At 36.1% G+C, this 13328-nt stretch overlaps 1 protein-coding gene across 6 annotated transcripts in view; it reads left to right on the forward strand.

Annotated features, from left to right (window-relative positions):
* Positions 1-13328, forward strand: part of AP1AR (adaptor related protein complex 1 associated regulatory protein) — a 41324-nt gene that overhangs the window by 10370 nt on the left and 17626 nt on the right. For 4 of the 6 annotated variants that reach the window (NR_136622.2, NM_018569.6, NM_001128426.3 and 1 more), the window contains exons 2-3: positions 11052-11100; positions 12591-12617. Coding sequence is in view for 2 of the 6 variants with exons in the window: in NM_018569.6 (NP_061039.3) it covers positions 11052-11100; positions 12591-12617 (76 nt within the window). In the remaining 4 variants the exon portion in view is untranslated. Of the gene's footprint in view, positions 1-11051; positions 11101-12590; positions 12618-13328 lie in introns of those variants that run through there. The other 2 variants (XM_047415928.1, XM_047415927.1) reach the window with 2 other exon arrangements.

Raw genomic sequence — 13328 nt, forward strand, 5'->3', positions numbered from 1 at the left:
ATACTGCATTTTAAGCCTATTCTTAACAAGACTGGTTTTATCTTTAATAAAAGTATCTTGAAATCTACCTTGAGAACATCGATAAGTGAATATGTATGCAAGTATCTCCACTTTTGTACCACGTTAGTTTCAAATTCTTCCAAATTTCTGTATATGCCTCCATCGTTCAGAGTATTATTCTCCAGGAACCAGTCATAGCCTTTCTTTTCTACCCCTCTGATGTCCTTTATGTGTTTGAATCTGTCTTAGGCTGTGTCGACATAAAGGAATATCTGAGACTGGGTAATTTATAAAAGAAAAAAAAAGCTTACTTGGCTCACAATTTTGATGTCTGGAAAAGTTCAAGATTGGGCATCTGCATCTGGTAAGGTGCAGACTGCTTCCACTAGTGGCAAAAGGTGAAGGGAAGCCACTGTGTGCAGAAATCACACGGCAAAAGAGGAAGCAAGGAGGGAGTGCCAGGCTCTTTTTAACAACCTGCTTTCATGGGAACTCACTCATAACCATGAGGATGAGGTTGGTACCAAGCCATTCATGAGGGATCCACCACTGTTACCTAAACACTTCCTATTAGGCCCCACCCCTAACAATGGAGATCAAATTTCAACATGAGATTGTTAGGGGACAAACATCCAAGCTATAACACAATCCACTTTCACATCTTCAGTAGTAGTAGAGTGGATACGCAGAAGCCTACTTTACTTCATTTAGAGACAGCTCACAGGACCATAAGAATTACATGTAAATGAATGTCCATGGATGACTTGGAGGAACTCTAGACTGTTAAGAGGAAAAAGTACACTTCTATTTTCTTTAAATCATTGTTTTTGGAGCCTCTTTCAGCTCCTCAACTTTCACCCTAATTAACACACCTGAATATACATGTTCTTGAATAGAATAGTGGGTTGCTGCCCAAATTACTTATCGCCTTCCTTTTTCCTCCAGGGCATGTGACTGGATTCATGAACGTTAAATGCACATATTATGTGCCCGTAATCATTTTCTTCACAGCTCAACTTTATGTGATACTGCTCTATTGCTAGAGAATTCTTCCAGCTTCTCACATCACTTTGTCCTTTATCGTTTCACTGCTGGCATTTAAGTCTTATGTCTTGGATTTACCGCATTTATTTTTCTCTTGTACTTTCACTCTTGATACTGCTGCTTTCATATTACATCCCCATTGGGATTCTGACACTTCTCCCATCATCTCTTGTTTTCCAGTCCGTCTCCCAAACCAGATGATTTTTATCTTGTAAATATTTCTTTAATCCTTCCACTTCTCTCACTGACACCACCCTAGTCCATCTTATTCTTGCTTAGCCTCAAATTTGATTGCATACGTTATTCATACGTTCATTCTATACGTTTATCCCCGCTCACTGTTTAGGACTTGTATCATTCTTGGCACTTGCAGGAGCAGCTTCTTATATGAACCAAGGTTTACTTCTGGTTCAAGTCATTCATTTCTATTCCTGTGCAGTATTGTATTATATGAATAGGCCATAATTACTTCACCCTTCTGTTGATGGGCATTTAGATCATTTCCAACTTCTTTTTTTTTCTTTTTCTTTTACAAACTACCTCAATTTGTGCAAGGAGATAAATGTCTCTTTGTACACATGTGCAGAAGATTCTTTAGGTGGATATACCTAGGAGTAGAATTGCTCAGTCATAGCTTATGTACCTCTTCAAATTTACTAGAAAAATAAAACTTCTTCAGAGTAATTATACTACTTTAAACTTTTACCAATAATGAATTTTCATTGTTCCATTTCCTAACTCTTGGTATTGTCAGATATTTTTTCAATCTGTTGATGTGAAATGCAATCTAATATTTTGTCAAAACTTTATTGTATAATATTCCTATATACCAGCAACAAATACTGCATATTATAAAATTACCTTTTAAGATAGCAATGAAAAAATATAAGAGACTAGTAATCAATAATAGATGTGTAAGACTAGAACAACGTTTTTAAAGATGCCATCTAAATAAATGCAGGGCAATACCATTTTCATGGGTAAAAAGACTCACTGTGCTTAAGATGTCCTCTGCCTATTTACTTGAAATTTAGTGCATTTGTAGTTAAAATCCTAATAGGAATTTTGTGGAACTTAAGCTGATTCCAGCAATTTTAATGGAAGAGCAAAGAGCCATAAAGAGCCCACAAATTTTGAAGAAGGAAACTTGTCCTATCAGATTATAGACTCTAATAATTAAAACCCTGTTGTATTGCCACAGCATAAACTAGTGGGTGAACGGGCTGGAATATAATACCCAGGCTTTCTTAGTCAACTTGAAGGTGAAGCTCAGTAATGTTTATTTTTAAAAGGCAATTGTTTCATGCCACAGGATGAGAATAACTGCTTTTCTAAAACAGAGTTGTCAAGACTAAATACCTATATTGGAGGGTTTCTAAATGTAAAATGCCTAGTTCAGGGGCTCATAACCATTTTTTTTCTTTTGTACATCAACTCCCAAAGGTGTGCAGTAGTCTCCTGTCAGTAATAATGCAGTGTTATATTGATTTTTGCCCAAAGATGGGTGAAGGAGACCTCCTTAGATTTACTCTTGCCATTTTCTGTTGTTGTTTCCTATGGTACCTCCAACATTCACACCTCCAAAAATCTCTGGTCTGTATAAACTTGGAGTTTTCTTACAGAGTTGTTTTGTTGTCATTATAAATGAAATTAATTTGAGATTCAGTAGGTTTAGTCAGAAGTTACAAATATGAAAGCGGAGAATACTGTTTTTTAGCTTCCTTATTTTTAAGCAATTATGTTTGCATAATAGAATCTTAGATTGTTCTGTACCAATTTACACTATAATTTTATTTAGCAAATGTAGGAAGCTTTGTACAACATGACCTACTTATAGGCTAACAATAGGTCTAAAAAAGTAGGGTGGCTATTCTCCTTTATTTTTAGATTCTTAAGCAGTTACTATTGAAAATAGTAGATCAGATTTTCTTTTAACTTTAAATGTCACCAGATTTATATACTCCTAATTTTTAGTGAAAATCTTTTTATGAATAATAGTTAATTAATAAAATAATGTTTTATGCATAATACAATTAAACTTATTTTTTTCTTATAAGAATGCTCTAAAAGCATATAATGTGAACAGTGTTATATATAAAATTAGCGCACTTTTAGATTCCAGGCTACACATATTATCAGAACATGTATAGCAGTGTTTTCAGCTACAGAACTGTGATGGATTGAACATGGAGGGGGAAGAATTAAGGAAGATCTAAAAGATATTTATCTACACTTGACCTTGGATATATGTTGAAAAGAGCTTACTTTTTGGAGTTTAGATACTTTACGTAATTTTTTGTACTAAGTCCTCAAAATCCAATGCATGTTTGACACATAATAGCCTTTAAAATTCAGACTAGCCACATTTCAGTTGCTCAATAGCCCCTTGTGGCTAATGGTTATCATTACTGGACAGTGCAGATCTATCCAATAGGATAACAATAGTTCATAGGATGATTCTGGGAAGCAAATGAATATAAAATACATATTTTAAAAATAAGCTTCGTTCCTGACCCATTGTAGGTCCTCAGTAAATGCAAGCCTCTCTTTGCTCTCCATTATATTAATAGCTTGTTATGTTTTGGGTTTTGTAGCATATGTAGTTGGAAACTTCAAGTCAATAAAATATTGACCTTTTTTTCAAATTGAAGAAAATAAAATGTTCTTATTATTCTCTAAACTAACAGTAATTGAGAGTCAGCTTTTGTAATAGATATTGCTGCTTTTGCTCATTTTGCTTCCTATCTTTCCTTCTAAGACTCAATTTTCACCTAAGATTATTAGAAATGTACGTTAATAGTTGGCACCAAATTTCTGGTTTTAAACTGTGATCCAGTTTCCTTTTGTCTCATTTTTTTAATGATGCTGCCCTATATACGTCTAAAACTTCATTCTTGAAAATATTCTCAACCAGCACCTATATAATAATGAAATATTACTACACAGTACTTGGGGGACTTGAATGATGAGTTATGTGATTTTTCCTGTGGCTACTTTTGCTGTCCCATTAATATATAATTTTAGGCTGGGTGTGGTGGCTCACACCTGTAATTCCAGCACTTTGGATGACCGAGGCAGGCAGATTGCTTGAGGCCAGGAGTTCGAGACCAGCCTGGCCAATATGGCAAACCCCCATCTCTACTAAAAATACAAAAATCAGCTGGGCATGGTGGTGCACGCCTGTAGGCCCAGCTACTTGGGAGGCTGAGGCAGGAAAATCGCTTGAACCCAGGAGGCAGAGGTTGCAGTGAGCTGACATCACACCACTGCACTCCAGCCTGGGCGACAGAGTGAGACTGTCTCAAAACAAACAAAAAATACATAATAATTTTGTTTGGGCAACCACATTGGTGATTTCGTCATGTCCCAGGCTCTCACCTTCAACCTCTTGGGTCAGGTGAGAAAACCAAGGTAAATTTAATAATTTAAAATGGGAAATGTAACTGTCAAGGAACTATATAGTACTTGTGTCTAGGTAAAGACATTATTTTACTATAAGCATAGAATAACAGGGTGGGAGGTGCTTAGTGATTGTAGATTCAGAACAAAGAAAGTTAATTATACAATTCAAATAACCCATCACCTTGGAACACTACCATCCACTGGGACCAGATAGCCCAGTTCCTTGAACCAGGGGACTTTTCTACAGAGTTTGGCTGAACTCTACCAACATTTCTTTCTCTATTTTGTATTCTTCTGTTTCTTCATTTTACACATCTTTTTTAAAAATATGATTAACTTCCTTCTCTTTCTTTTAAATCTTACAGGAGCCCTTCTGTTTCCTTAAGTTAACTTAGCATGTGAAGGTAACTGATCCATGATGTATTGTTTGTAGCTTTAATTTCTGTTTTCTCTGTTTCCAGCTTACTGGGAGATAACTCACTCTTCCTGTGTCCCCAAGGAAGAGACTATACTTCCATTTCTCGATATTACTTAGAAGTAAAATCCCTAGAAACAATAGGCATATGTATGTATTGGTAGTAACATGAAGTGTATGTATGGGAGGGGAAAAATTGCTGACATTGCATCTTTGTCTACAGACAACCTTATTGGGATAGCAAAAGCAAGCAACATAAATTTCCTGGGTGTGAAGAAAAGAAGAAAAGAAAAGTACTTTTACTGATCTGAGATTGAGAAGTAGCTCCAGGGTTAAATATAGGAATACTTTTAAGGAGTTTTTGGGCTGATGTTTATGTTAACGTTGTAGTTTCGAATTTGAATAGAGGAGTCTCACCCAGACTCTTTGTATGAATGTCAAGCTCAAGGCATCTAAAAACACAAACCTGCTTCTTTCCCAGGCTTCCTCATCTTGGTAAATGACAAATCCATCCTAATTGTTCAGGCCTCAGAGTTAGGAGATAGCCTTGATTTTTCCTTTTTACACACATCCTTATATCTAATACATTAGCAAATTCTGTCAGCCCTGTCTTCAGAATTACTTCTCATTACTCCCACTATTGTTACTGTGATTCAAGCCACCATCATTTCTTCGCTCTACTATTATAATAGCTTTCTAATTGACCTCTTAAAACATATGTCAGCGTGTCTTTTAAGGATCTTCCAGTGAAGTTGTTACAGCTAATAGATTCTTAAGGAATGATAGAATTTAAAAATCATTGTTTTTGTACTCTGTAGTGAAATAATGGAACTGAGTACTGATTATCAATGGATGTTAAAAACCATTTGGTAAAAGCTTGATGTGAAATATTATGATGGGTGGATTAGGCTGACATAAATATCCTAACTTACAGATCATCAGTAAAAGTGAGGCAGGCAAAAATAAAGTTCCTTATGATTTGATTCAATAGCAAGTACCATTAGTGAAGCATTCTTGCCTAAAAAAATTAAACTCAATATAATCAAGCTTTTAAATCAAATTACTAAAATGCAGGAAATACAGGGGATAGAAGAAAAAGTTAAATAATACCAAGAGGAAAAATATCAGGTAAATCCAGAAAGTGAGAAATTTTGTAGGACAAGTGACACAATTTGTCTAACAAATCAGTGGCATGAAAACAGACACTGGTGCTGGGAAGGGGGCTGATATGGACTAAAAGAGGTGCAAGAGGCCTAACAAGCAAACATACTCTGTGGGGCTTTTGTTTGATTCTGATTTGAACAAATCATATGTGAAATATGGGGAAATAGAAATATAGATTGGACTACACATTAGATAATATTAAAGAAATTATTTTAAATTTTGTTGGTATGTTAGCTTTTTAAAAAAAACAGTTCTTAATACTTTAATTAAAGATGCAAATTGAGGTAAGGGTAAGATAACATGTCTGAGATTTGCTGTAAAATACCAACAAAAAATAAAACAAAAAGGAGTATAGTATAAATGAAACATGATCAGGAAGTAGTAACTTTTTAAGTGCGGTAATGGGTACAGGGGGGCTTATCAATCTCTTCTCTCTGCTTTTGTGCATATTTGAAAAGGTTCATGATAAAAGTTTTAAAAAACAGAGTGAATGCTAAAGACAAAAATCTCTTCTGTGAGTTCTTATCTAATTAATATTAAAATCTAAAACTCTTCCCATGGTCTATAAAGGCCTGTGATCTGACCCTGGCTATCTCTCAGACCTTATCTCCCTTCCTTCTTCATTCCAGCCATTCTGACCCTCTCGCTTTCTTAGAATGTGCCAAGTAGAGTTTTGCCTCAGAGCGTTTGCTTTTGCTTTTCCTCTGTTTAGAATTCTTTTCCTCCAGATATCTGTCTAGCTGGCTTCCTCATTTCCTTGGGGTCTTTGTTCTGCCTTTGCTTTAACCGAGAAGTCTGCCTTGACCACCCTACATAAAATAACCTCCTGTTCCGGGTGCGGTGGCTCACGCCTGTAATCCCAGCACTTTAGGAGGCTGAGGCAGACAGATCACCTGGGGTCAGGAGTTCGAGACCAGCCTGACCAACATGGAGAAACCCTGTCTCTACTAAAAATACAAAAAATTAGCGGGGCGTGGTGGTGCATGCCTGTAATCCCAGCTACTCGGGAGGCTGAGGCAGGAGAATTGCTTGAACCCAGCGGGTGGAGGTTGTGAGCCAAGATCGTGCCATTGCACTCCAGCCTGGGCAACAAGAGCAAAACTCTGTCTCCAAAAATAAAATAAAATAACCTTCCTCCTCCAATCACGATCCTCACTTACTCTAAGGTACTTTTCTTTAAAAAAAAAAAATGTATAGGCTTGGTGCAGTGGCTCACGCCTGTAATCTCACCACTTTGGGAGGCCGAGGTGGGTGGATCACCTGAGGTCAGGAGTTTGAGACCAGCCTGGCCAAAGTGAAACTCCGTCTGTACTAAAATTACAAAAATTAGCCGGGTGTGGTGGTGGGCGCCTGTAATTCCAGCTACTTGGGAGGCTGAGGCAGGAGAATCGCTTGAACCTGGGAGGTGGAGGTTGCAGTGAGTCGAGATCCAGCCACTGCACTCCAGCCTGGGTAAGAGTGAGACTGTCTCAAAAAAGAAATATATATATATATAATTTTTTATAGATTTAGGGGGTACAGCTGCAGATTTCTTACCTGTATATATTGCATAGTGAGATACCATCTTGTGCCAGTCAGCGTGGCCATTACTGAAAAGTTAAAAAGCAATAGATGTTGGCGAGGATGTGGGGAAAAGGGAATACTTAGCCACTGTTGATGGGAATGTGAATTAGTACAAATTTCATGGAAAACAGCATGAGGTACTTTTCTTTCATGGCAATTACTATCATCTGATGCATTTATCTATGTGTTTATTATCATTCATTCACAAATTGTTAGCTCCAAGGTGGCAGGACCTTTATCTGTTTGTTGACAGTTGTATTGCCAGCATCTAGAACAGTGCCAGGCACTTTAGAAGCACTTGATAAATATTTATGAAATAAAAGTGTAAAACTTGACTTAAGGTTTAATAGTTGAGTACTTCCATTCCTTTCCCCAGTTGTTCCGCTTACCCTTCACTTACATTCTCATCCTTACCTAGGAGCAAGTAGTGAAGGATTGATTGCCAAGAGCCTCATTGAGAACAAAACTGAAGGAAAGAACAGAAAATGCAGGATAGTTTATTATAGGAAACATTGTAAAAGGTGTATTCCAAATTTGCTAGGCTTTTAAGCATCCAATAATATGGAAAGATTTGAGTTTTCATTTTTCATTTCTTAATAGCTCTCCGAAATCTGAAATGGTCCTTTCAAACCATTAGGACGTTGGCTTTCTAATTATTTTTAAAACATATATATTACATAGAATATAGAAAAGTATGTGAAAAGTTATGGTTTTATATGGCTGGAAGTTGGCAAAATGTCAGTGACTGAATTTAATACATCACATGTCTGAGGGTCCTATTCAGTCATCAATAATGTTTGAACAAGTAAACATAATTCAAGCATACTTGAATAAGTAACTTAATTCATGGAATATATACATGTTATGTTTCTTGGTATTTTCAGATAAGTCACAGGATAAAGCTCCCCTGATAAAAATGTTGACCCTGAGTTTGCCAAATCGAGTATTTACTTTATCAGTATAATCTTAGCTTTTATTGTGGTAGGAGTCAAGATATGCATTTTGTGAACAAAGTCTCAATCTAATCCATTTTAAAAGGAAAGCTTGAATTTTTTCCCAAATATATTTTGCTTTTCTCTCAAATATATTTTGCTTTTCTCTTTATCTTGTTTTATTTATTGCTATTCTTAATTTACTCCCTTGTCATATCACTTATATTCATGTTTATTAATCAGGACTTTGTGGGGGACAGAAGCCCAATTAAAACTATCTTAGGCAAAGGGTAGAATTTGTAATAGGGATGTTAGGTTTCTCAACTAATAACCAAACCATGAGCAGGGTGGAATGCATCTGGTTCTTAGGGATGATTTTGATGCTGTCAGAGCACTCTTTCAGTTTATTTCATTCCTCTCATTGCGCATTGTCAGAAAGCATAATCCCCAGCAACTCTCTAGAGCTCTCAGAAGGATATTGTCTCTCCCTGCTCAGTTTCTGTGTAACCCTGAACCAGTCAAATGAGGTGTGAGGGATTGACTGATTCTAGCTTAGTCAGATACTCAGGGATTCAGAGTCATGTGAGGACGTGAGTGTCCTCACTATAGCTGGCTGTGAATAGAGGGGACAGAAAAGGGAGATATTTACAACAGATAACACTTTTGCCTACTACTAAAGTTAGTTTGTATTATCTATGTATAATTAGACTAGAACATGGTGTTCTGCCATCTAATACAAATGTAGTGTAACAGTTACCTTGGTTTCGACAATGTTCTACTTAGCTTTGGGCTTTGCCACAGCAGTGAAGTCATACTGATGGCTCCTATTGATAGTATTACTGGGCTTTATTTCTAATTATTCAGCTGTACCACTCACTAACCTGGAGGAGGAAACAGATTAATCAGAGACAGATTCTCCATTCAGGGAAGATAGTGATGGTTGCAGGGAGAGAAGCATATAGCACTGTAAGCAGGAATCCTAATGCCAGAACCCAGTGCTACTACTGAAGGTTCAACTCATTTCTGTATTTGTTTGAGAAATAAAGGAGAGAGAAGAGTGGAGGCACTAGATAGAGGATTAAGGGTATTGCATTTATGTTGGATATAGTCCATGAAATCTGTGGAATTGTAATACCAAATTCTTTGCTTTTTACCAATGATCTTAGTGGACAATAACACAGATTTGCATCTATCAGCAGATAAAGATTATAGCAGGAAAAATAGTTCCCATAATTTCATTGCTATTTTTTTCCTTCAGTCATGATATGGCATTCTCTTTCACTAAACCTTCATCCACACACATACACATAATACAAAGAATTCTGCACTTTGGGAGTCCCAGAATTACTTGAGCCCAAGAATTTGCGACCAGGCTGGGTAACATTGAGACCTCGTCTCTACAAAAAAATAAGTGAAGCCAAGCATGGTGGTGCATGCCTGTATTACTAGCTACTGGGGAGGCTGAGGCAGGAGGATCACTTGAGCCAAGGAGTGCAAAGCTGCAATGAGTCAGGATTGCGCCACTGCACTCCAGCTTGGGTGACAGAGTAAGACCCTGTCTCCAAAAAAGAAAGAAAAGCAAAAGAATTCTGACCTGTCCTAACCCCAGGATTCTCCTTGTTTCTTAAAAGTGTGCTTTCTGTCCATGAATCCTGATGATTTAAGAACACTTAGTACAAATTTGGATCCCCATTGTATGGCAGTGGAGTTCTCCATCAGTTTTGGCAGCTGTAACAGGAGCCACATTATGACTGAAAGTCCCGTAATCTCCTGGCACTTCCAGTTACAAAGGACTGTGAGTGGCCCTCTCCTGGGATGCCAGCTTGGATGCTGTAGTACTTAGAATGTAGACATATCTTTGGAGGATATAATAAAGAAGATTCCTATTTGACTACATATAAGTTTAATAGGAGCAGGAAAGAATGATTAAAATAAAGTCAATATTTGGCCCTAGTTGGAAAAAATAATGTAATGGATTGTTTGATTGACATGTATATGCATTGTTTTTCTCTTTTATTTGTGAGGGCATGGGAAGATAACAAAAGTCTTGAATAAAGACACGTGATTCCACCACCAAAGATAACTACTCTTAGCATATTGACATATATACTTTTAGATACTTAATGTTCTGTGTATTTTTAACAAAATTGAGAACATATTCTTTTTATATATTATTTAACACATCAGTATTTTTTAACGAGGTACTTTTCTTGATGTAGTAAAAATAATGAGATACATTTTAAAATGTATTCTACTCAATGTAGTAAATATAGTAAATTAATTATTACAGATTTAGTAAGTGTTAGTGCCAATAGAAAGAAATATTGATTGACTAAACAAAGTCATAATGAAGTTTAAAAATCTGGACTTTTTATAGTCTTAGGTAAATTTTGTTGTTCTTTTTTTATAAATATAACTATATGTTAGAGATTTTAAAGTTGCTCTTGAGGAAATAAATGTTTTTATGCTATATATTAATTCAATCTTAGAGTTAATTGTGTTTTTTAAAGTTATTCTGTTTTCCTTCCCAGATCCAAGTATTTTAGAACATGCTCAAGAGGTGAGCACTTAACAATAGAGGTAAGTAGTCCTTAATTTGATTGAATTAAAAATGCCTTCAGAAAGGCGGAAGGGGCTTTTTGTTGTAAAGAGGGAAAGATCTGGACCCAAATTTAGAATGGACTGTTTATATTTCAATATTATTCATGTTAGTGAAGATTGAAAGAGTTGGAGCAGTGAGGGAAGGAATGAGTAGGAAGAAGTTTGCAGAGGATTATGGTTCTGTTTTTCTAATAGCTTTTTCCCCCACCCTATAAGTCAGGGAGAAGGTACTCTTCTGTCAGTAATAGTGGCTCACTAGGGTATAACGAGAGGTGGTTGGCCTGCCCCAGCAGGGGGGAGTCCAGAAACAAAGCAGGAAGTTGAGTTTAAGCAACTCCACAGCAGAATGACCGAGTCACTTTTTCTTTGAATGTAAAATATAATAATAGAAACTACCATTTATTCCTTACCTACTATAAACTAGCCACTCCACCATACAAATTAAGAATGTCATCACAACTCTCTTGTAAACAGGTGGTGGTCACCCTGTTTCATGGATGAAAAATCAGAGGCTTAGACAGGTGGAGAAATTGGGCTATATTACACAACCTATTAAGTGGCAAAACCTAAATTCTAGTCCAAACTGCCTGGCTTCAAAGCTGGAACACTGTACTTTATGGCCTTCTATATTAATAAGGAAATGTGTAAGGCAGGAATTAGATATTTAAAAATCACAAACTAATATAAAAAAAGATAAAGATAATAACTTTAACAGTTTTATTCTTTTTTCAGAGAGATTCCTTAATTTTCTAAACCTTTTGAATTCATTGTTTTCTCTCAATCTTTAAGCCAAACAGTATTAACAATAAAACACCTTTTATTTCAGGTGGTTACTTATCAAGTTATTTATATTTAAAATAAAAACACTTTAGTGATATAATAGTAATGACTTTTATTAGGTCACTGACATAATAGTGTTAAGCACATTATGATCAAACTGTTTACATTCCTATCTCTAGAAAGACATTGTATTTGGGGATAGTAACTACCACTTAGTAGATTTTCAGTAAATAACTATATGAATGAATAGACGGATAAATATAAACGTGGGGAAATTCTTATTTGGTATCTTTTAGTCCCCATTCCTTGAATAATTTTCCTTCTTACAACATTTGTTCTGTAGTCAAGTGAAGTGGAATATTCTGGTAGCATGGAATGAAATTACTTGTATGAAATATTCAATTCAGATGAAAGTTTTAGTTCTGATTTATGTAGAAAATTGCTATAATTCTCCTGTTTGATTTTCATTCATAGAAAGTCATAAATTAAAATAGTATATGCTTGTCTTGGCCATTTTGTAGGACTGTTAAATATATCAAATGAAATGATGTATTAAAGAGGCATTTGAATTAAATAGCTTACAAATATAAAGGTATATTATTTTTAAGTGAAAAAAGTAACATAATTTCTTGTGAGATGTATACCTAAGACAAATATTCCTCTTAACGCTTACTTTTTTGTCCTTTCAGTTTGAGAATCTAGTAGAAAGTGATGAAGTAAGTATTTCCATAATAGTACAAAACTTGTATTTGTTTTTCTCATTAATCGTCTCATTAGTTCTAACAATTACGTTTACAATTTTTATTATTTTTGTTTTAGAATTTTTATTTTCTGGTTTTTATTTTTACTTTTTAGTTCTTTATTATTTCCTTCTTTTACTAATTTATATTAGAAAATAATTCCGAATTTTTTTTTTTTCTTGAGACGGAGTCTCGCTCTGTCTCCCAGGCTGGAGTGCAGTGGCGGGATCTCGGCTCACTGCAAGCTCCGCCTCCCGGGTCACGCCATTCTCCTGCCTCAGCCTCCCAAGTAGCTGGGACTACAGGCGCCCGCCACTACGCCCGGCTAATTTTTTGTATTTTTAGTAGAGACGGGGTTTCACCATGTTAGCCAGGATGGTCTCGATCTCCTGACCTCGTGATCCGCCAGCCTCGGCCTCCCAAAGTGCTGGGATTTCAGGTGTGAGCCACCGCGCCCAGCCAATTCCGAATTTTTTTACTATCTAAGATACACTATATACACACACAGGATTTAAAGCGTTATACAGAAACCCAAGGAACTTCAGAAAGTTGTATTTCTAATATTTCTAACCTCTTGCCATTAAGTAGGTAAAATACCTAACAATCCAGAGTAGACCCATTGCTTTTTGTTGTTGTTGCCGTTGTTTTCTTTTTAAGAGACAAGATCTCGCTATGTTGCCCAGGCTG

The sequence above is a fragment of the Homo sapiens genome, chromosome 4 (assembly GCF_000001405.40).
Source record: "Homo sapiens chromosome 4, GRCh38.p14 Primary Assembly".
Taxonomy (NCBI): Eukaryota; Metazoa; Chordata; class Mammalia; order Primates; family Hominidae; genus Homo; species Homo sapiens.